Below are 20,857 nucleotides of genomic sequence, written 5' to 3' on the forward strand. Positions count from 1 at the left end.
GGTATGATGTGCAAAAGTGCAAAAATTTGTATATATATTTATTTAAGTCTGTCCATGTTATTAATTAATTCCTATATTCAAGGCAGATGTTGACCTTTGCATTTGTGGCCAAATTTCCATTCAACCATTCTTCAGATTTCAACTCTCAGTGAATCTAAGTTATTCTTTGAAGATTCTTTCTGGGTCTACTAGTTTGATCATGATGCTATAAAGAAAATTCAGCTTAAAGGCAATAGTTGGAAAGCTATTGAACTTCCTAGAATTAATTTTCATGGTAATTTTTATAGTGCATGACTGGAAAGCCATTCGGAAAGTAGTATCAGATCATTAGTATTCTCTCTTATGCACTAGTTTATTTCTATGGTAGGACAGAGGGCAAGAATGTTGACCTTTAGAAAATGTGGTCTGTAGTTCAGTGTTGGGCATACCATAGATTTCAATATATTCGTCAAATTCGAACTGGATAAGATGAAAAATTTTTATTCTTAAGGTGTTCTTTAAAAGTAAGTCAATTAAAAAAATTTAGCTCTCCCTTTATATATAAATATTTGAAACTATTCTAATATGTTGAATACATTTTTTTTATAAAATTAAATTGTGCTTATTAAAGAAACTTTGGACATTGCAGAAAAATAGAAAGGCAAAAAACAGTAGATAATAATGTCATACAAAGGCAAACACATAAGACTATATAAAAACTATTTCCTGCAATTTTCCTTTTAATGCATAGATTTAAAAATGCTTGAAAATGTGAACTTTATAATTTTGTATCCTTTTTCACTTAAATCAAGTACCTGTATTATCTCAATGATCGTCATCTTTATCTTCATGCCTTATCACCAAAAATAGCATTTATTGTTGCATACCAGTCGACTGACTAGATAAACCAGTTACTTTCACAACTGTAGTATTGTTGCATAAGCTGGATTGAGTATGTTCTTAATTAAAACGTAACAATGGCTTAACAATGTTGAAAAGAATATAAGAATGTAATAGTTTTTTTTTCTAATACATTTTCAATGTTTTTAATTTAAGGGAGTATATTTGGGAGTTCAGAAAGGTCAAGGGATGAACTACTTTTTAGATTTTTAAAAGGAAAAGTCAATTAGAATCTTTTTTTTTTTTTTTTTTTGCCAAAAATAATATCATATGCTATTTGGGATGCTGGAAATTTTTCTTCTATTATTTGATAAAAATCAAAGATTTATTCAAAAAATTTTTCTCAATGTTAAATATTTATGAAGAAATTATAAGTTTTAAAGTTTCCCTTAGAAATTTATGCATCCACAGTGTTGATCTCCAGGACAAGGATTGAATACATTATTTAGACATCAGTTTCTTGATGTTTTCAGTAATATAGTCTGGCAATTTCTTCTGTTTCTTAGCCTGTTTATAATACTTGGATATTTTCCATCTTATTGAAATGCAAATTTATTGAAAGAATACTGGCACATCCACTGAGATTTACAGTGTATCAGTTTTGGAAAAATCCCATCTCATTATATGAAACTGTACTGAAATAAGAGCAAGGAATTTGCAAACTGTATAGCTTCAAGTAATTAGTGACTTGTTCAGGTCTGTCCCTTGGATTTTTCTGTTTTTGGAAGAAATCAGTGACTAAAGACTGTTGAATTTGGATATTCCACATTTAAAGAATGGCAATTTAAAACCTATTCTTCCTATAAAATTAACATTTTAGATCCATTGAAACTTGGAAATTCCTGCGTTTGCCATTTAATAAATTATTTTTCCATTTAAATTTTTTAAACAAAATTCTGACTAAGCACAAAGCAGTGTTGGACTTTTTAATGGCTTTAGTGAGGGTGTTCTTTAGGGATAAGTTTAATTTTTATTTTGATATATGAAGATATTGAACAATGTGCTATGATTAAAATTGTGAAGCTATTATATGTCACTGTATCTTTTGAAAAAAATGAGAAGCAATTGCTTATTTTGTATAATATTTGGTAATTTTGATGCTATTATGAAGTATGTATACTACATTTTGAGGCCTGTGGTATGTATATTCAATTGTATATGTGTGTTTATGTATGTGTGTATATATATATATGTTTATAATTACTTATTATTTTTAAATTGGTGTGATAGAAATTAGCTAGCATATAAACTTTAAAAGGGAACATTATTTCTTCATTTAAAATTATTTGACACAAGCTGTTCTTTTAAAATACTAGTGCAGCAATTAAGCTGTTATTTGAGACAGTGGAGGTATTAGTCCATTCTTGCACTGCTATCACTACCCGAGACTGGGTAATTTATAAAGAAAAGAGGTTTAACTGGATGACGGTTCTGTGGGCTGTTTAGTTCATGTGGCTGGGGAGGCCCCAGGATACTTAAAATCATGGTGGAAGGTGAAGGAGAACTGGCATGTCTTCCTGGCCGGAGCATGAGAGAGGGGTGGGGGAGGTTCTATACATTTTAAACAACCAGATCTCACGATAACTCACTCACTATCATGAGAACAGCACCAAAGGGGAAATTCTTCCCCGTTATCCAATCTCCTCCCACCAGGCTCCACCTCCAACTTTGGGGATTACAATTTGACATGAGATTTGTGCAGGAACACAGACCCAAACCATATTAGTAGATTTGACAGTCAGCTAATGATCTTGGTTTCTGTACATTGAAACAATAGCCACATGTGATCAATCACATGCTCACTTATCTGATTCTGAGTTGAATTATGTGCTTTCCAAAAGAGATTTGTATGCACAGGCTCAATTGGTCAGGCCAGGCTTCATGGAGGGGATGGGTCCACTTTCAAGAGGAGTAAGAATCTGTGAGGCAGAGAGGAGAGTGGGGTAGCTTGATGAGAAACTCAGTCTGGGGAATATATAAGTATTCACAGGACAGCCAGGAGAGCAGCAGACAAGAAAAGCATGGTGGGAACATATTAGAACATAGTGGAAAATAGAACGAGTGTTTAGACAGAGTTGAGTTATTTTGGGAAGAATCTTTAAAGCGAAGTCTACATGTAGTTTTGACTTGATTCAGTGGTGAGACACCCAATGGGTGGCTTTTGAGCTAAGAAGTGGCCTGTTTGAGGGAGGGCCAGCAGGGTGTGAAGAGGCCAGTGACCAGACTCAATCCAGGAAAGAAAGGAAGGAAAACTCCCTGTTATAGAGATGGCTGGCCCCGGGGTACACTTATGCGGTGGCAGGAGCATGACTTGAATGATTTTGGCACATGAACTTGTGTTCCCTGTGCTCTGTGGGAGGGCTACACTGTGTTCATTTTAGAGTAAGTCCAGTGTTTATGACTGTAGGCTACATTTGGCTACTCTGGTTTTCTTTATCCAGAGTAATGGTTAAAGGTATAATAACATGAGTGGCCATGTGGGATCTTTTAAGCTGCAGGTGCAAGGTTCACTTAGCTAATCATGGCCTGACTTGAACAGAGAGAAGACAGCCTGAAAAAAAGCTTGGGCTTGTATGTGACTCTGGTCTTGTTAGGTTACAAGTGGTTAGGGTTGGGGGAAGAGTTTTAAACGTGTAGAATTTGAGAATTTCTGAATTTTTTCCCCCAGTTTATTGTAATTTCTCAGTTGGTTATTTTTATAGATATTAAGGAGGGATTGCACTGTAATTATGAAGTAATATTCTTATTTTCCTACTAATGCCCATGAATACTTATCTGACATGAATTATGAAGTTCTCTTACTTTGTGTAGGATGGGAACATGAATTAAACACATAAAGGTAATAAAAGTACAAAAAATCTTTTTAAAAATTGCTTGTAATTTTTTGGGAGGGAAGTATTGGCCAGTTTAAATCTCTATATTATCAGAAGTCATTTTTGATTATTCATGGATTATGGCACCTATATAAAATACAGACTAATGTCTAATGTCATTCTATTTTGACTCAAAAGTAATCTGGAAGCTTTAAAGACTCCACAACTGAACAGCATCATTTGATAATGGATTTGTGGTATTATTAGTCTGACCTCATATAATGTGTAGTGATTTTGGAGCTAACGAAAAAGACTATGGAAACCAGATTTTGGGAGAATGAGTGCCAAGCACATCTGTTTCTACTCAAAAACTTAATAAAATAGATCATCTGAGAAAAAAAAGAACAAAACAAGCAAAGTGCCACAAAGTCATTTTCTAAACCACCTTTAACTTTCTTGTGGCTTACCTCCTCAACACTGGCCTTTGCTGCTGAATGACTTTCAGGAGAGACACATGAAAAGGGTCACTTTAATTGGTACAGGTGCTGACTCAGGCCTCTGTCGTAGGTTTTTCCATCTTGGGATCTTTGCTTTGCAGGGACTGTCATGCCAGTAAAGGTCGTTTGCAAGTTATGTCACTATTCTCTACCCGCTGTTAGGCAGACAGCTACTGTATAGGGTTTGCTGTTGACATTTTCAAACCCAGCATGACAGTTTACCTAAAATTATAGTGAGGTATCAAAAAAGACAATTAAATGTCAATTTATCTTCAAAAATTTTTTTATAAGTTTCTATTTATGTGACTTAAATGGAATGAAGTGGCTTTAAAGAGTGTATGTCTTGACAATCTACGATGATAATGCTTTGGCATTTGTATGTTTCCATTTATTGCAATTTTAGGTAATTGCACTCTTTGTGTGTTCCATTGGTCAATCCTTAGTGTGCAGTTCATTAACTAATAGAAGATTTTTCCATGGGGCATAGACTGTCTCTGAAACCTAGAATGCTATTTCAAAGAAACATTAGAAAGATAAAATAAATAAGACATCTTGAATGTTTGAGAAGAAAACACCTTGCATGTTATTCTTTTATTGCTTTAGAAACTTTGACAATATTTTTGTGCATAGAGCATGTAAGTGTTAATTAGTTTGTAGTGTTTAGTTTCATGTAATGTATTAACACTCTGAGCTAGAAATGTCCATTATTGAGCACTGACAGCATCCAATATGAAAGCATTCTTAAAGTTTTTAAATGTTTATGTTTTTCAATATACATATGTAAAGCAAAGAGATGTTGAACAATTCAGTGGTTTTGGAACTTTTGTGTATTGAATGATAGTGTGGATATAATAATATTGTGTATTACATTTTGTTCATTTGCCTTTACCCATTAATTTACAGCTGATTTCCATAGCAGTGGACACATTGTTGTTAATGGATGGAAGATACATAACACAGCAAAAAATAAATGGTTTGTTTGTATGGCAAAAACACCTGAAGAGAAGCATGAATGGTTTGAAGCTATTTTGAAAGAAAGAGAACGGCGGAAAGGTGGGTGTATGAATTGGGCGCTGTTACACTTTGTGAAGACTCTAACTTAGCATAGGAGCAGATAATGGGAAAACATGAGAAAATGGAAAGGTATATGATGGTCACTTGATTTATTAGGTTGGTGCAAAAGTTATTGCAGTTTTGACATTGAAAGCAATTACTTCTCCACCAACCTAATACTATGTGACGTGAGCCTCATACTAAAAGACTTATTTGATACTTACAAAATTGTTATGTAATACTTATATAGTTAGCAAAATAATTATGTTATGGCTGGTAGTGTCTTTTAAATAATTTTTTTAAATAGAAAATTTGTTCAATTTTCTTTGCATTTTATTCTTGCTATTTCTAAAGCAGCATTGCCAAATTTTTCTTTAAGTGACAAGCTTCAATAACATAATGCAGTGTTGTAAAGCCTCCAATTGTTCTCAGTATACTTAACAGAACACTAAAATTTCTTAGACCCAATATGTTAGCTTCCTAATTATAGATTAAAGCACTTTGGATTTATACAAACTTTTAAAAATTGTTAGGTCTTTGAATATAGTATAATGTAACCCAATTAGTTGCTTGTTCATATGAGGAGGCCTAGCTCCAATTTGTTTTATGCTTTTAGAAAAATTTGCAAAAGGAATTTGGCCTGGCTGTATTCACTTGTGTGAAGTTTATCTGCAAAAAGGCATATTTCTATAATTCAGCTCAGAAATAGAAATGCTTGTATTTCTACTAATTAACAATTGATTTCTTAATTAAGAAGCATGACATTGTTGATTACTTCTGGAGACCCAAGAATAAAACACCTCATTGGTAATGAAATTTCAGAACACAAAGAACTCTTTCTTCCATCTTCAGATGTTTTCCCCTGAAGAATATGCAACATTGCTACCTTGATTGAAATATTCATGGTACATACTTGTAGAATTTCCAAAACATTTTCAAATACTCCTTTGGTTGATCTTGGATGAAGAACCAGATAGAAAATTTTAAAACAAAGTTTATGAATATATGACTGACTAAGTTTTGTTGAATGTAGCAGTCAATTCGAATAGCAAACAAATAGTTAAAAGGTGAATCAAACTTTCAATCAAATTGAACCTTTTTCTTAAGCACCCAAGAGAAAAAAACAAAACAAAATAAAAACCCCCAAACGAGAAGAAGCACATTCTCTAAAACTGCTTATGATCTTTATCTTTATATTTATCTTTATTAGACTGCAGTCTTAAGGGATTATTTATGAATAAAGACAAATGATAATGGCTCCAGCATTGTCAAAAATAAAAATCTGGTAGGAAATTTTGCAGCTAGATGACTAAAAATAATACAATGTTGCTCCTTCAACAGTTCGTCATCAGTCCTGATTAAGTGCCAGTGTTCGTAGGATTTTAGCTTGGCACTGTTTTTCTCTAACTAGATTCCTTGCCTGGGTTATCTATTCCATCAGATTAACTCCCACTTTTACACTGCCGATTTGTTCAACTTTATGTCCAGCCTTGCCCTCTCCCCTGAGCATGCTCGTGTTTTCACCTGAGTCCTGGACTCCCACCTGAATGTCCACACTAGGCATACTTGGTGCCCACCGGACTCCTGGTTACTTGGATGCCTTTGCCCAATACACCTCCCTGCTTCCATTCAGTCACTCTCATCAGAGGCCCGGAAGGCATCTGATTTCTTCTCTTTCTTCCATGCCCACATTTAACCAATATCTTATCAATAGTGCCTCCTAACTATTTCTCAACTTCATCCTCTTTGCCCTATGGCCCTACCCTTATTTGCAGTGAGTTGAACTTGTTTGAACTTTTGAGGTTTCTCCTAACAGTGTCACTCTTTTAAAATCTTCCCCTCTTCAGTTTGTTCCCCGCACTGTCCTCTGAGCTTTGTTTCCAAAGCAACACAACTTTCTTTCCTGCACTACCCTACCTTTCTCCTCCCACTGGTTAAAACACTTAGCTGCATGCCCAATACCTAAGGAATGAAATAAATTGAAACTGCAGGTTGAGCAAGGATCTTGGCTATCCTACCAGCTCATCTCCTATCTTTTCTCTTAAAACCCATGGCTCCGGGCCTCCAAGTTGCTTCAAATGAGTTAGCTCTGCTTTCTCTAGAAATCTCCATTCACACCTGTGCATTCAAGACAGGTCCCTTCTGTGAAACCTTTCTTAACATTTCTCAGGGAGAGGTGAGGTAGGCTGAGTATGCCTCTATTATATTGCATTATTTTTTTTCTACCAGAACTGTCTCTAGGGCTACTCTGTCCAGTTCTGCGGATCTAACTCTGAGCAAGGGTGCCTGGTCCAGGGCTCAATGGAAGCTGAGACTCAGCTGCTCTTCTTACTCCCCTGGCTAAAGCTTTATGCCTTTGGGGCACAGTTTGCACAAAGGTGACATATACCCTGGGGATCTTGCCTTGCAGGTCTCCCTAGCCCCTGAGCTTCTTGAACACCAGGGCACTATTATACAGAGATCTGTATCCACAACCCCCAGCACATGGTAGACCTGCAACAAATGCTTGCTTAATGAAGCCATAACTGAATGAATGAATGAAGAGAATTTTCAGTTACCTCTCCTTTCTTTCATTTTTGATAGGTTTAAAATTAGGAATGGAGCAAGATACCTGGGTCATGATCTCTGAACAGGGTGAGAAACTTTATAAAATGATGTGCAGACAAGGAAATCTGATCAAAGACCGAAAGAGAAAACTGACTACGTTCCCTAAATGCTTTCTTGGAAGGTAGGGTTGGGAGTTTGGGTGCATGACTTTCTTTTACATTCTCATTGTCTCACCTGTTAACTTTCCTTCAATTAGTTTTCCTTTAAAAATATTCCCTTAGGCACTTTTGAAAACTTCTTTACAGTTGCCATTTCCTGGGCGGTAGCAGGATGAAGGAATGGACAGAGAGCCAGGATCATGACCAGGAAACTTAAGGCATCCGTCCATTCATTCATGACTTCTGAGATTTCTGATATGTCATGATCCCGGGGGAAAGTGAGGTTGGGGCCAGGCAGGGAGTGGCAGGCAGGTAGGTTTGCCTGCAGGGGACAGGATGACTGGTTGGGCACAGACATGTATACACATGGGCCTGAAAGTCAGAATCAGAAAGAAAGGAAAGATAAGAGACAGTCTGAACTACCAGTTAATTTAGAATTTAGGCAGCTGGGCTCAGGATAAAGGGTGTAGGTAAAGAGTCTGAAAATGTGGGTCATGTGAAGAGACAGGCAGCAAGCAATAGGCAGAGAGGTCACTTTGGTTTTTGGAGTAGAACAGAGTGACTGAGTGTTGTTTGGTTCCTTTGGACAACATTAAGTGGGATTCCCTGGCTGGTTTAATTAGTGCAGGGCCAGAAGGAAGGTTAGCTGCCTTCAGGTAGCTCTTTTTTAGGCCAGACTCTGCTGGCTTCTTCCTATACATTATTTCTAATGCTGGAATACATACTTAGGTAGGAGTTAAATACCATTATACTTTTTTAAAGATACAGAAACTCTGGATCAGGGAGCTTAACAATTTCATATGGTTAGTGAATACCAATGCCCAAGTTTATAAAGTAGACTGGAGTCATAGTTTACAGTCTAGACTGCAATCAAACTTATCTATTCACTTCCTAGTAGTACCACCAATTTGTTGTGTGATTTGGGATAGCTAAGTTTCCATTTGCTTTGAAAACATGGAGATGATGGTAGAGTTTACCTACAGTGCTCACTGGGATGCCTTTTTAACCAGCGATGGGAACACACAACATAATCATAGGCTACCTCTGCCTCCCTCATATGGTTTGGCTGTGTCCCCACCCAAATCTCATCTTGAGTTATAATCCAAATTGTAATCCCCACGTGTCAGGGGAGGCAACTAGTGGGAAGTGATGGGATCATGGGGGTGGCTTCCACCTTGCTGGTCTCATGATGGTGAGTGAATTCTCATGACATCTGATGGTTTTATAAGGGGCTCTTCCTCCTTCACTCGCCTTCTCTCACCTGCTGCCGTGTAAGGTGTGCCTGCATCCCCTTCTGCCATGATTGTAAGTTTCCTGGAGCTTTCCCAGCCATGCAGAACTGTGCATCAATTAAACTTCTTTTCTTTATAAATTACCCAGTCGTGGGTACTTATTTATAGTAGTGTGGGAATGGACTAATACACCCAGTCTCAGGGAAGTTCTTTACAGCAGTATGAAAAAGGGCGAATACGCTCCCCAACCCCCAACTCAGAAATCTATAGGCCAGGAAACCCTCTGCCTGCAGAGCAGCATCTGGCTTTCTTCTTCACTAAGAGTGATCCTCCCACCAGGCTACACATCTGCCAGTGAGCTATACTGTTGCTTGTAGGTACCTCTTAGCTGGTAGCAGCTCTTGTGCAAGGGAAAGAGAAGATGTGAGTTTATCTTGGCAAAGAAGCCCTGTGCAGCAAAACGACAGTATCTCTTGTACCCACCCCATGGGCATAACTTTCAGGGTCCTCACTGGGATATGCCCATTTGCAAGAGAGTGACTTCAAGTTATGGCTTCCCAGTAGGTTTTAATAGGTATGCAAATTAGCCACCAGGGGTCATTTTTACCATTGCAATGCTGCCTAGTTTAGCAGTTGACACCCTGCCTTCTTCAGGTGTCTAGGGGAGCATAGCTATTATAGAAAGTTAGCCCAGGGTCAAGTTTGTTCTTATTGAAGAAGAATAGGTTTTGCTAACCCTTCACTTACACTGTGTCATATGGGAATAGTGCAAGTTCATTGTGATGCTATATGAAGCTTCTCCCAGAGCACCTGATAGGTAGGAGAGACTCAGTAAATGTTAGATTACTGCGGCCTTTTCCATAACAGCACACTACTGCCGCTTACAGCGCAAGTTTGAGATCATTTCTGAGTGGATCCTTGTCCGTTAGCAGAGTGTTGATGGAATTTCCTCATTCCCTGAGTAGGCCCAATGATAAAGCCACTCATTGGGTTCCTTTATTCTCGACCTCTCACTCTTAAAAATATTTCCAATTTATAGCAATGTTTAAATTGGCTCTTTCCCTCATTGTAATATGACATTTTCAGGAATCTAGTGCCATCAGACTAGAGAATTATGTCTTAGTTACATAACAACTATCTCAACCCACTTGTCAACCACTGAGTTAGTAAATCTCACTATGTGCCAGGCCCCGTGCTGAGTTCCTGACATCTGTCATCTCATTTAATCCTTTGGTTGCACTATGACATTGACATTCTTTTTTTTTTTTGAGATGGAGTCTCACTCTGTCGCCCAGGCTGGAGTGCAGTGGCACGATCTCAGCTCACTGCAAACTCTGCCTCCCGGGTTCAAGTTATTCTCCTGTCTCAGCCTCCCTAGTGGCTGGGATTACAGGTGCATGCCACCACACCCGGCTGATTTTTTAAATTTTTAGTAGAGACAGAGTTTCACCATATTGGCCAGGCTAGTCTCCAACTCCTGACCTCAAATGATCCATCTGCCTCCGCCTCCCAAAATGCTGGGATTATAGGCATGAGCCACTTTGCCCGGCCCGACATTCTTAATATTATCTCTGTGTTAATGATGAAGAAGCTGGAGTTTAAAGAGCTAAATTCATGAACTCATGGTCATGCACGTAGTGGAAACAGAAACAGGATTTGAGTCCCCGTTGTCTTATGGCAAAGTACATGATATTAACTGCTACACTTTGTTTCACCTTTTCTTATATTTTTCTTCTGAATTTGTTATGCAGCAATAGAAAACGAATGGTTTTGAATGGTTCTCATTTAATAAAAGAATAAAAAAAAATTAACAACTTTTTCTGCCTTAAAGTATTTTTGTAGTCTAGACAACCCATTTTTAGAATTTTAACCTCAATTATTTGACATTAGCCATTTTTCTTGCTTTTGTTTTTGAAATTAATGAAGAAATAATTTCCTGATGCAGTCCATAGCTTTGTTTCTCTAGCCAAAAAAAGAAAACTAGTCTACAACAAATTCAATAGTTTATATAAAAGTTCAAATGTTAGACTTTTAAAACATGAGCAATATAATATTTTTTATTTGTAAAATGTCTCTGTATTTAGTGTTCTCTTAATGATACCACGTGACCTTTTTTTTTAAATCGCTACATAGCTGAGGCTCTCCTAAGTGATACAAAACATCATCCTTATTATCTATGATGCCTGGGGCTGCCCTGCAGTGGTGACAGATGTAACCTATAATCCACTGTGGCCTTCACAGCCACAGCAGTGTGTGGTAGACAGTTCTGATGGATGGTTCTGTGCTGGAGTATTCCTTATGGATGACAGATGAGATACAATAATGAATTTACCAAGTAATTTAACATTTTCAAAACAATGTAGTAGAACTTTTCTATGTCTTTTGGTGTACAGTAGTTTTCTATTGCTGTATAACAAATGAACATATACTTAGCAGCTTAAAACAACACCAGTCAGAAGTCCAGGAGAGCTCAAGTGGGTTCTCTGCTTAGGGTTTCACGACCCCAAAATCAAGGTGCTGGCCAGACGGGGCTCTTAGATTGAGGCTCTGGGGAAAAGTTCAGTGCCAAGCTTATTCAGGTGGTTGTCAGGAATCAGCTCCTCATTGAGGCTGCAAGAATGAAGTCCTTGTTTCCTTGCTGTCAGCCAAGGGTTGCTCTCAGCTTCTGCAGGCTGCATGTCTTGGTACCAGGTCCTCTCCATCTTCAGAGCTGGCAGTTGCACATTGAATCCTTCTAATGCTTTTAATTTCTCTGACTTCCTGTCATGCCACTAGCCTGAGAAAACTCTGCTTCAAAGGGTTCCACTCCCTGAATCAGGCCCACTGGGATAATTTACATATTTTAAAGTCTACTGACTTGGAGTTTTAATTACATATGCAAAACTCCCTTCAGAGCAATACCTAGATTAGAATTTAATTGAAAAACCAAGGGGAGGGAATCTTGGTGTGGTGGGAGGGCAGTGAGAAGATTTCTGTAGAATCCTACCTACCACATGGTACATGTGGTTTTGTTTTGTTCTTCCTTCCTGGATCTTTAAACTCACTGGTTCTCTGTGCCTGGGAACCACATTAAAGACAGTTTAGCTCTTTATATTAAGTTATTACTACTCTATTCAGTTCTGACTTTAGCTATCTTTAGGATCTGTTGCAATCCTTTAGTCCCACATTTGCCTTTATGTTAATGGTAACCTTTTAATTAAAGCTACTCTAAAATTTTCACTTTGTGTTTATTAGAGGCCTCAACAAGTTGAATAGTTTAAAACTAAGTATAGTTTAGTAATGTCAGAATGTACAGACATGGGTTTTCTAGAATAGAGTTCAACTTAAATGGCTGTAGGCCTTACATATGTGAAAAAATAATCTGTTGAAATGTGTTGCAAATATTCCTTTATATTTTGAGATTCCTTTCATCATTGCTTCATGACTGGATGGTATAGAAAGACTTGCTGGGGAAAAAATTAACCGTTTAGCTTTTTCACTGACTTTCTCTTGCAGCGAATTTGTGTCATGGCTGTTGGAAATTGGAGAGATTCACAGGCCTGAGGAAGGCGTGCACTTGGGACAAGCATTATTAGAAAATGGAATCATTCACCATGGTAATTACTTTATTATTAATTACTTATTTAATGCATTTATTGGCCATATGTATCTTAATCCCATTTATCAGTTTAGTTTACAATTCCCCACATTATAGGATGCTTGTTGTTTTTAACAATATTTTCAGTACCTAATAAGTGTAGAACAGTGTCTCAGGGAGTGTGGGTTTATAGGGCTATATTTGTTAACCTTAAAATGAAGAGCTTCAATACAGGCAAGTGTTAGAAAATAGAGAAGTGGGATTGTGGAGGAAGGGATGGTTAGTTCTATAGTAATTAGAGTATTTGGGAGTGCTTCATGGAGGACGGGACATGACAAGTGATGCTGGGCATTGCAGAATGAATAGAACTCTGCCAGGGACCGCAGGGCAGAAGGGCATTCCACCCGGAGGAAATAACAGCACTCCGGCACGGTGGCGGGTGAGTTTGTGGTGGCTTCTTTGGGCACCGGCACAGAGCCTCACGTGGGTCCATGGATGAACATACTGGCGAGGGGAGGTGTGGCAAAAAGGCAGGCAGAGCCTGGATTCCAGAACATATGAAGTCTCCTGCTGTGGCATGTGGGCTTATTCCGAGGGGGGCCAGGAGCTGATGAATGCTTTTAAGCAGAGCCATGATCAGAACTCAGGTCCACAGCTGTGAGGTGCAGCAGCACGGAGCCTGAAGTGGAGAGGTTCAAGACTGCGAGCACTAGGCCCCTCAGGGGGCCCTGCTGCACCCAGGAGTGGCGGGACAAGGTCTTCAGCAGGTCTGCCTCCGTGGGCATGAAAAAACCCATGGGGAGATGCTGGCAAAGCTACAATACCATATTTTATAACTCTCTGGATGTGGGTGATGAAGAATGAAGAGAGAGATTAAAGTATTCTGAGCCTTCTTCTCTGAATGACTGAGATAGCTAATTCAGGAGGAGGATCAGGGTTGAAAGAGAAGATGCAGGCTTTGCTGTGGACCGTGTAGGCCAGCCAGTGGGGAGTGGCCAGCAAGCGGTTGAGAGTTTGGGGTGAAGCTCAGGATAGAAATAAGGTGAGAAACACATTTGGAATCATTTCAAGGGAGTACTAGACTCCTGGGAACACTGACAATGAACAGACAGACAAAAACCAAGAAAGCAGTGTTAATGGGACTCAGGACAAAGGTTTAAAGAATTTCTATGGTAAATTGTGGGGGAGGAGAAAAAGCCAGGGAATTATTAATAAATATGGATGTTTGGCTATGGTATTTTGATGTTCATTTCCTTTCTTAGATACTGTGCAAACAAACCAGATATTTCCCATCTTTTCTTATCACACTGGGTGTTGCCTACGTGATGGTACCACCATCCACCCAGCTAGGAATCATCTTTAATTCCTTTCTCTCCCTCATGCCGTCAAGCCCTGTGAGCTCTACCACCAAATTAAGTCCCTAAACAATGAATTCTGTCCCTTTCAGCATCCTTACCTTTTTTCTAGTCGCCGTCATCTCCTCCTTTGCTTCCACTTTTGTTCTCCACTCCTGTAGTACACTCTCCGGGTCACAGCTAAAGAGACCTTTTAAAACGGGGATATGATCAAAGCATCCTTCTGTTTATAACCATCTAATTGCTTACAATCAAACTTAAAGAAAAGTTCAGACCTATTACATGCCCTAAACTTCTTACCATGACCTACAACATCCGATGAGATAAGGCCCCTGACTTCCTCTCAGAGCCTGACACCTCGCATTGTACCTAACTTGTTGCACTGTGGCCACCCTGACCATCTGTCTCTTTCTTCAACGCTCCAAGATGACTTCCTATTTAGGACCTTAGCTTTTGCTCTTCTCATTCAACAGTTATTTATTAATCCCTAATACATGCCAGGAGCCTTTCTAAGTGGTAGAGACAGAGCTGTGAATGAAAAGACAAAAATCTTTGTATTCATTACTCATGTCTTCCATGACCCTTTGACTTTTAGAAGCCCATCCTGTCCTGTGATTCCAATGTCCTATTTTTTTTTTTTACTTTGAAATCTTTCTTCATGTATTTATCACTCTGAAATTATTATGTTGTTTTACTTGTGTCTTTGTTTATTACCTCTTTATCTCCCTATCCCTTCCCTGGCCTCCAATAAAAATATAAGCACCATCCAAACAAGAGCCTCACTTGTTATTATATAGCAAATGCCTGGCATTCCCATCCCATACAGGTGCTCAATAAATATTTGCTGAATGAATGAATAATTATATTTTGAGTGAACAGATGATACTTATAAATTGTATATGATTTTGCGCTTGTTTCATTAGCATCATTAAAACATCTAAAAGCATTATACGGCTGCTTTTAGCATCTGGTAGGCTAAAAGCATCATTTAAAAACTTAAAAGTAAAAATAACATTATGACTATTATATACTAACATCATAAAATGCTAACAAGCATATATAATAATTACCCTGTCTTTAATAGGATCGCATAGATCTTATATTGACCAGGGAACTGTGCCTCAGTGGCAGAAATTGAGTAGTTGTTTACCAAATTGGTTTAGCTTTTGTTTTTCGTGGGTGTGCATACATGGCATTTCTTAGTTTTCCTTGCAGTCAAGGGGAGGCTGTGAAACTGAGTTGCAGCCAAGGACATGTACACAAAAGTGGTGCACAAGGGAAGTGTACAGGCTATTAAAAAAACACAAAACACAAGGTGACCCTGGGAGCCATGCATTAAGGATGGCTGAGCCTCTGTCAGACCCTAGACCCTGCATGAGGAGAGCACCATCACTCATCCTCTGCCACGGATTGGATTTTACCTCAGTGAAAAATTAGCTTCTACAACACAAGTCACTATATTAGGGAGGTTTGTTTGTTACAGTAGCTAGTGTTAACTAGTGGAAAACCAGCTAGGTTTTCTTCCCAATATTTCCTGCAAAAATGACTTATCCCATCCTATCCTAGCGTATTTCTGCCTTTCTAGAAGGAAGTATGAGAGCAGCTGGGTTTCTTGATGGACAGCGTAAAAAGACAGACTTAAACTACCAAGAAATAAAGGTTGCTGGTTCATGTTGACATACAAACTAGGGGTGAGAGAACATATTATGCAATTTCACATTAATAGAATAATTCTATTAGAATGAAGAGGTATGAGCCAAATGTGCTAGTATCATTAGTATGAGGTTCCAGCTGCATTTTGGTGAAAATAGAATTCCTAAAATAAAGTTGAATGAACCATCTGTTTTAAACAGAGCAAGCAAAAAAGAAGTTGGCTATTATTGCTATTATTGACATTGCAAATATGATTGAGAACTTCACCATCAGCAAAGCCTTGCTATAGCAGGAACTCTAGCGTTGAGGAACTCTAGGTTGAGAGAAAGCAGCGTATGCTTTCTCTGTGGTATGCTGACAATATACATGTTGTCTAGTGCTACTTTTTGTAGTAGGAATGCTTATGTGAGAATTCAGAGACCTCATATCTTATTAATATTATATCCCATGGTGTGCTGAAGTTGGCTCATACAAGCTCCTGAGAGCTGATAATTAAATACATTTTGTAGGCTGATTAGTTTTTAAACACAATTATTATTAATTCAATTATATAAACATGTAAGTGCATAAATTATGTTGCAAAAAGGGTAAAACACTCTTTTGGGGGGTTGGGGGGCAGGGTCTTGCTCTGTTGCCCGGGCTAGAGTACCCAGCCAGTGGTGCGATCATGGCTCACTGTAGCTTCAACCTCCTGGGCTCAAGCGATCCTCCTACCTTAGCCTTGTGAGTAGTTGGGACCACAGGTGCACGCCACCATACCCAGCTAATTTGTTTTTTTTTTTTTTAATTTGTAGAAATGAGGTCTTGTTATGTTGACCAGGTTGGTCTTGAACTCCTGGGCTCAAGCAGTCCTTCCACCTCAACCTCCCAAAGTGCTGGGATTACAGGCATGAGCCACCATGCCGGACCTGTAAAACATTCTTAAAATGTGTCACCTTCTCATTATTTTACAATGTTTTACTATTATCTATGCTGTCGAGGTTATTTGTATCTATTGCTTGTGTATAGTGGAAATACTGTGTAATGAGTGCCACCGCACCTTTAACTCCGTGTTCAGTGACTTTAGGTTGGAAACTTGAAATTGGCCAGAGTGGGAATATTTATACAACAGAAATGGGCAAATGCTACAAATCAGAACTTCTCCTCTACACCCCCTACCTTCACCACCTAGAGAGCCAGTTGTTAAACATTTGCACTATGTTCCTGGTTCTCTCACACAGTTATTTAAAAGATTGCATTAAGCAGCTTTCTTCACTAGAGGACCCGAACTGTAGTTTATACACCCATTTTCCATGCTAGATAAATTGGGAGAGCAAATTTGAATGCAGAACAGTTCAGCGTTTTTCTAAGGCAACAGCTAAGAGTTGCAGATTAACCCAAGGTTCATTATCAAAGGCAGAAGCATTTGCCTTACAGCTAGGCTCTCCCTGTCGAATAGGTTAGACTACCACTTGTTTCATTGTGGCAAAAACATTTGGGCTCAACTTCTTGAGTTTTGGAATATCAAGACAATCTATTTCAATGATTATTAAGGTATAAAAATGGGAATAGGTAGATTGCATAGGAGAAAAAAATTGTCATCTTAAAACAAGTTGTAGAGTTTCACGTTATTTCTCTTGATTTTATATTTCTTTCATACAGGCTTTTTTACGTATGACTTGGCTTGGGGAAAAGATACCAAAAAGCTGTATTGTCTATCTTTTTTTAAAAAGAACAATTTTTGGTCATAAGCCATGTAGAACGTTTGAATAGGCTGGGGTAAAAGAGCTGAAACTTCACATATGTATGTGTGTGTTTATGTGTATTAACAAGTCTTTTGACTTTCTTCTGGATGCATCAAATGTAGTTAATGAGAATTCTGACAACTTTCTTTCCTCTTTCAACATTTCTAGCAAAAAAATAAAGGTCAAAGTCTTTCATCTAATCATAAAAATATAGCTCTTTGCAGCAAATTATCTCTTCTACAAATGTTGCATTCCCTGTAAAGAAAATATTTAAATATAAACTCTTTGACTTTTACTTTGAGGTTTTTACTTTCTAAAACAGACATTTTTTATTAGACTGTGTATAAAACAACTTAGCCTGAAAAAGAGAAAGCGTAGAGATTTAGTAGGAGATTCCCTCCCCTTCCCTCCAGCTTTATGGAGGTATAATTGACAAATATTTATGGTATACAACATGTTTTGAAATATGTGTAAATTGTGAAATGATCACCACAATCAAGCTAATTAGTGTATTAATCGCTTCACATAGTTATCACTTTTTTGTGGTGAGAACATTTAAGATCTACTCTCTTAGCAATTTTCAAGTATGGAATACATTATATCATATTTTCTGTACCTATCCATTCATCCATCCATGGAAACTTAGGCTGATTTCTTATCTTGCTATTGTGAGTAATGCTGCAGTGAACATGGGGGTACAGATATCTCTTTGACATATTGATTTTATTTCCTTTGAGTTACACACCCAGAAGTAAAATTGCTGGATCATATGGTAGTTCTATTTTTAGCTTTTTGAGGAACTTTCATACTGTTTTCCAAAATGGCTATATGAATTTACATCTCCACCAACAGTGTACAAGGGTTTCCTTTTCTCCACATCCTCACCAACACTTCTGTCTTTTTGATAATAGCCATCCTAAGAGGTGTGAGATTATATCTGATTATAGTTTCGATTTGCATTTCCCTGATGATTAGAGATGTTGAACAACTTTTCATATGCCTGTTGGCCATCTTTATTTCTTTTTTTGAGAAGTATTTATTTAGGTTCTTCACCCATTTTTAATTGGGTTATTTGTATTTTTGGTATTGCATTGAATTAATTTCTTATATGTTTTGAATATTTGCCTCCTACTGAATATATGGTTTGTAAATATTTTTCCTATTCCATAGATTGTCTTTTAATTTTATTGATTCTTTCAGTTGCTGTGCATACACTTTTTAGTTTGATGCAATTGCATTTGTCTATTTTTATTTGTCTATTTTTGCCTTTGTTGCCCGTACTTTTGGGGTCCTCTCCAAAAATTATTGCCAAGACAAATGTCAAGTAGCTGTTCCCTAATCTTTTCTTCCAGTAGTTTTATAGTGTTACATCATATGTTTAAATCTTTAGTCTACTTGAGTTTATTTTTATATGTGGTGTGAGATAAAGGGTCCCATTTAATTATTTTGCATGTAGATATCCAGTTTTCCCAGCATCATTTATTGAAGAGACTATCTTCCTCCATTGTGTGTTCTTGGCACCTTTGTGGAAGAGCAATGACCATAAATCTGTGAATTTATTTCTGGGATCTGATCTCTATTCTGTTCCATTGGTCTATATGTCCAGTACCATGCTGTTTTTATCAGTGTGGCTTTGTAGTAGAGTCTGAAGTCAGTAATGTCATGCCTTCAGCTTTGTTCCTTTTGTTCAAGGTTGCTTTGGCTATTGTGGGTCTTTTGTGCTTCTACACAGATTTTAGGATTGTTTTTTCTATTTCTGTGAAAAATGCCTTTGGAATCTTGATAGAAATCACATTGAATCTGTAGACAGCTTTGAGTAGCAGGGACATTTTAACAATATTAATTCTTCCCTTCCATGAACATGGGATTTCTTACCATTTATTTGTGTTTTCTTTAATTTCTTTCATAGTTTGTAGTTTATTATTTCTTTCATGGTTTATAGTTTTCAGTGTACAGATCGTTCACCTTCTTGTGTTATTCCTAAGTGTTACATCTTATTTTTTTATTCTATTTTAAATGTGATCATTTTTAACATTTCTTTTTTCCATAGTGCATTGTTAGTATATGGAGACACTACTGATTTTTTTAATGTTGACTTTGTATCCTGCAAGTTTACTGAATTAGTTTTTGGTGGAAGTTATATGGTTTTCTATATATAAGTTCATGCCATCTACAAATAGAGACAATTTTACTTCTTTCCAATTGAATGTCTTTTATTTCTTTTTCTCCCCTAATTGCTCTGGTTAGGACTTCTTGTACTATGTTGAACAGAAGTAGAGAAAGTAGGCATCTTTGTCTTATTCTAGAGAAAAAGCTTTCAGCTTTTGACCATTGAGTATTATGTTAGCTGTGGGCTTGTCATATATGATCTTTATTATGTTGAGGTGCATTTTGTCTATGCCAAATTTGTTGAGAGCTTTCATTATGAAAGGATGTTGAATTTTGACTAATGCTTTTTCTGCTTCTATTGAGATCATCGTATGATTTTTGTCTTTTATTCTGTTAATGTGATGCATCATAATTTTTCATTTGCATGTGTTGAACCACCCTTAGTTCTCAAGGATAAATCCCACTTGATCATGGCATATGATCATTTTATTGTGATATTGAACTTGATTTGGTAGTATTTTGTTTAGGATTTTGGCATCCATGTTCATCAGTGATATTGGTCTGTAATTTTCTTTTCTTGTAGTATTCATATCTGGCCTTGTAAAATAAGTTTTGGAAGTGTTCCTTTATCTTTTATTTTTGGAAGAGTCTGAGAAGGATTGGCATTAATTCTTCTTTAAATATTTGGTAGAATTCATCAGTGAAGGCATCAGGTCCTGGGAATAGGAGTCTTTATTAATATGAAAGTCTTATCTTGAGGATGGTAATAAAGAATGAACGGTCTTGTTTTCCAATAAGAAAAAAAATTAACTGACATGTAAAAAAGCAATTCTTAATGTAAGAACAGTTACAATTTTGGCATCAGTTAGATACTAAATTGATTTAAGCTACTCTGGAGGTCCAAACACAGGATAAGTGGTCAAGATTGGTGTATGTGTGGTCTTGGCCTGATCACAGTGTGATAAAACAGATACGTGGTAAAATTCATTTCCAAGACCGAGAATCAAATCACAATGCACTAGTTTGAGTATCTGCTCTTTGAGGGGCACTTTTTGCTCAGCTTTGTAGCATTGTGAAGAAACAGAAAACACAAAATCATATATTTATATAAATGTACACATTGTGTATACCTTTATACATACTATATACTCATGTACATATATAAATACATATATTATGCTAGCTGAATGTTGCAAACGTCAGTTTATTTCTCAAATCGTTATATGGAAACTGTAATATTTTTAAATAAAATATTATCAT

The 20,857-nt window shown here is 37.3% G+C and overlaps 1 protein-coding gene across 4 annotated transcripts in view, besides 1 other annotated feature; it reads left to right on the forward strand.

Annotated features, from left to right (window-relative positions):
- The window catches only part of PREX2 (phosphatidylinositol-3,4,5-trisphosphate dependent Rac exchange factor 2), a 284,987-nt gene that overhangs the window by 95,959 nt on the left and 168,171 nt on the right, over positions 1–20,857 (forward strand). For all 4 annotated transcript variants that reach the window (NM_024870.4, XM_047422268.1, NM_025170.6 and 1 more), the window contains exons 9-11: positions 5,093–5,242; positions 7,826–7,970; positions 12,675–12,775. In NM_024870.4, the coding sequence (NP_079146.2) occupies positions 5,093–5,242; positions 7,826–7,970; positions 12,675–12,775 (396 nt within the window). The remainder of the gene's footprint in view (positions 1–5,092; positions 5,243–7,825; positions 7,971–12,674; positions 12,776–20,857) is intronic.
- Positions 11,316–11,516: a silencer, noted in NCBI's record as "peak7060 fragment used in MPRA reporter construct". NCBI's record gives its function as "represses an SCP1 promoter by STARR-seq MPRAs in K562 erythroleukemia cells {active_cell/tissue: K562}" and the evidence as "EXISTENCE:reporter gene assay evidence [ECO:0000049][PMID:32103011]".

The sequence above is a fragment of the Homo sapiens genome, chromosome 8 (assembly GCF_000001405.40).
Source record: "Homo sapiens chromosome 8, GRCh38.p14 Primary Assembly".
NCBI classification, from domain to species: domain Eukaryota; kingdom Metazoa; phylum Chordata; class Mammalia; order Primates; family Hominidae; genus Homo; species Homo sapiens.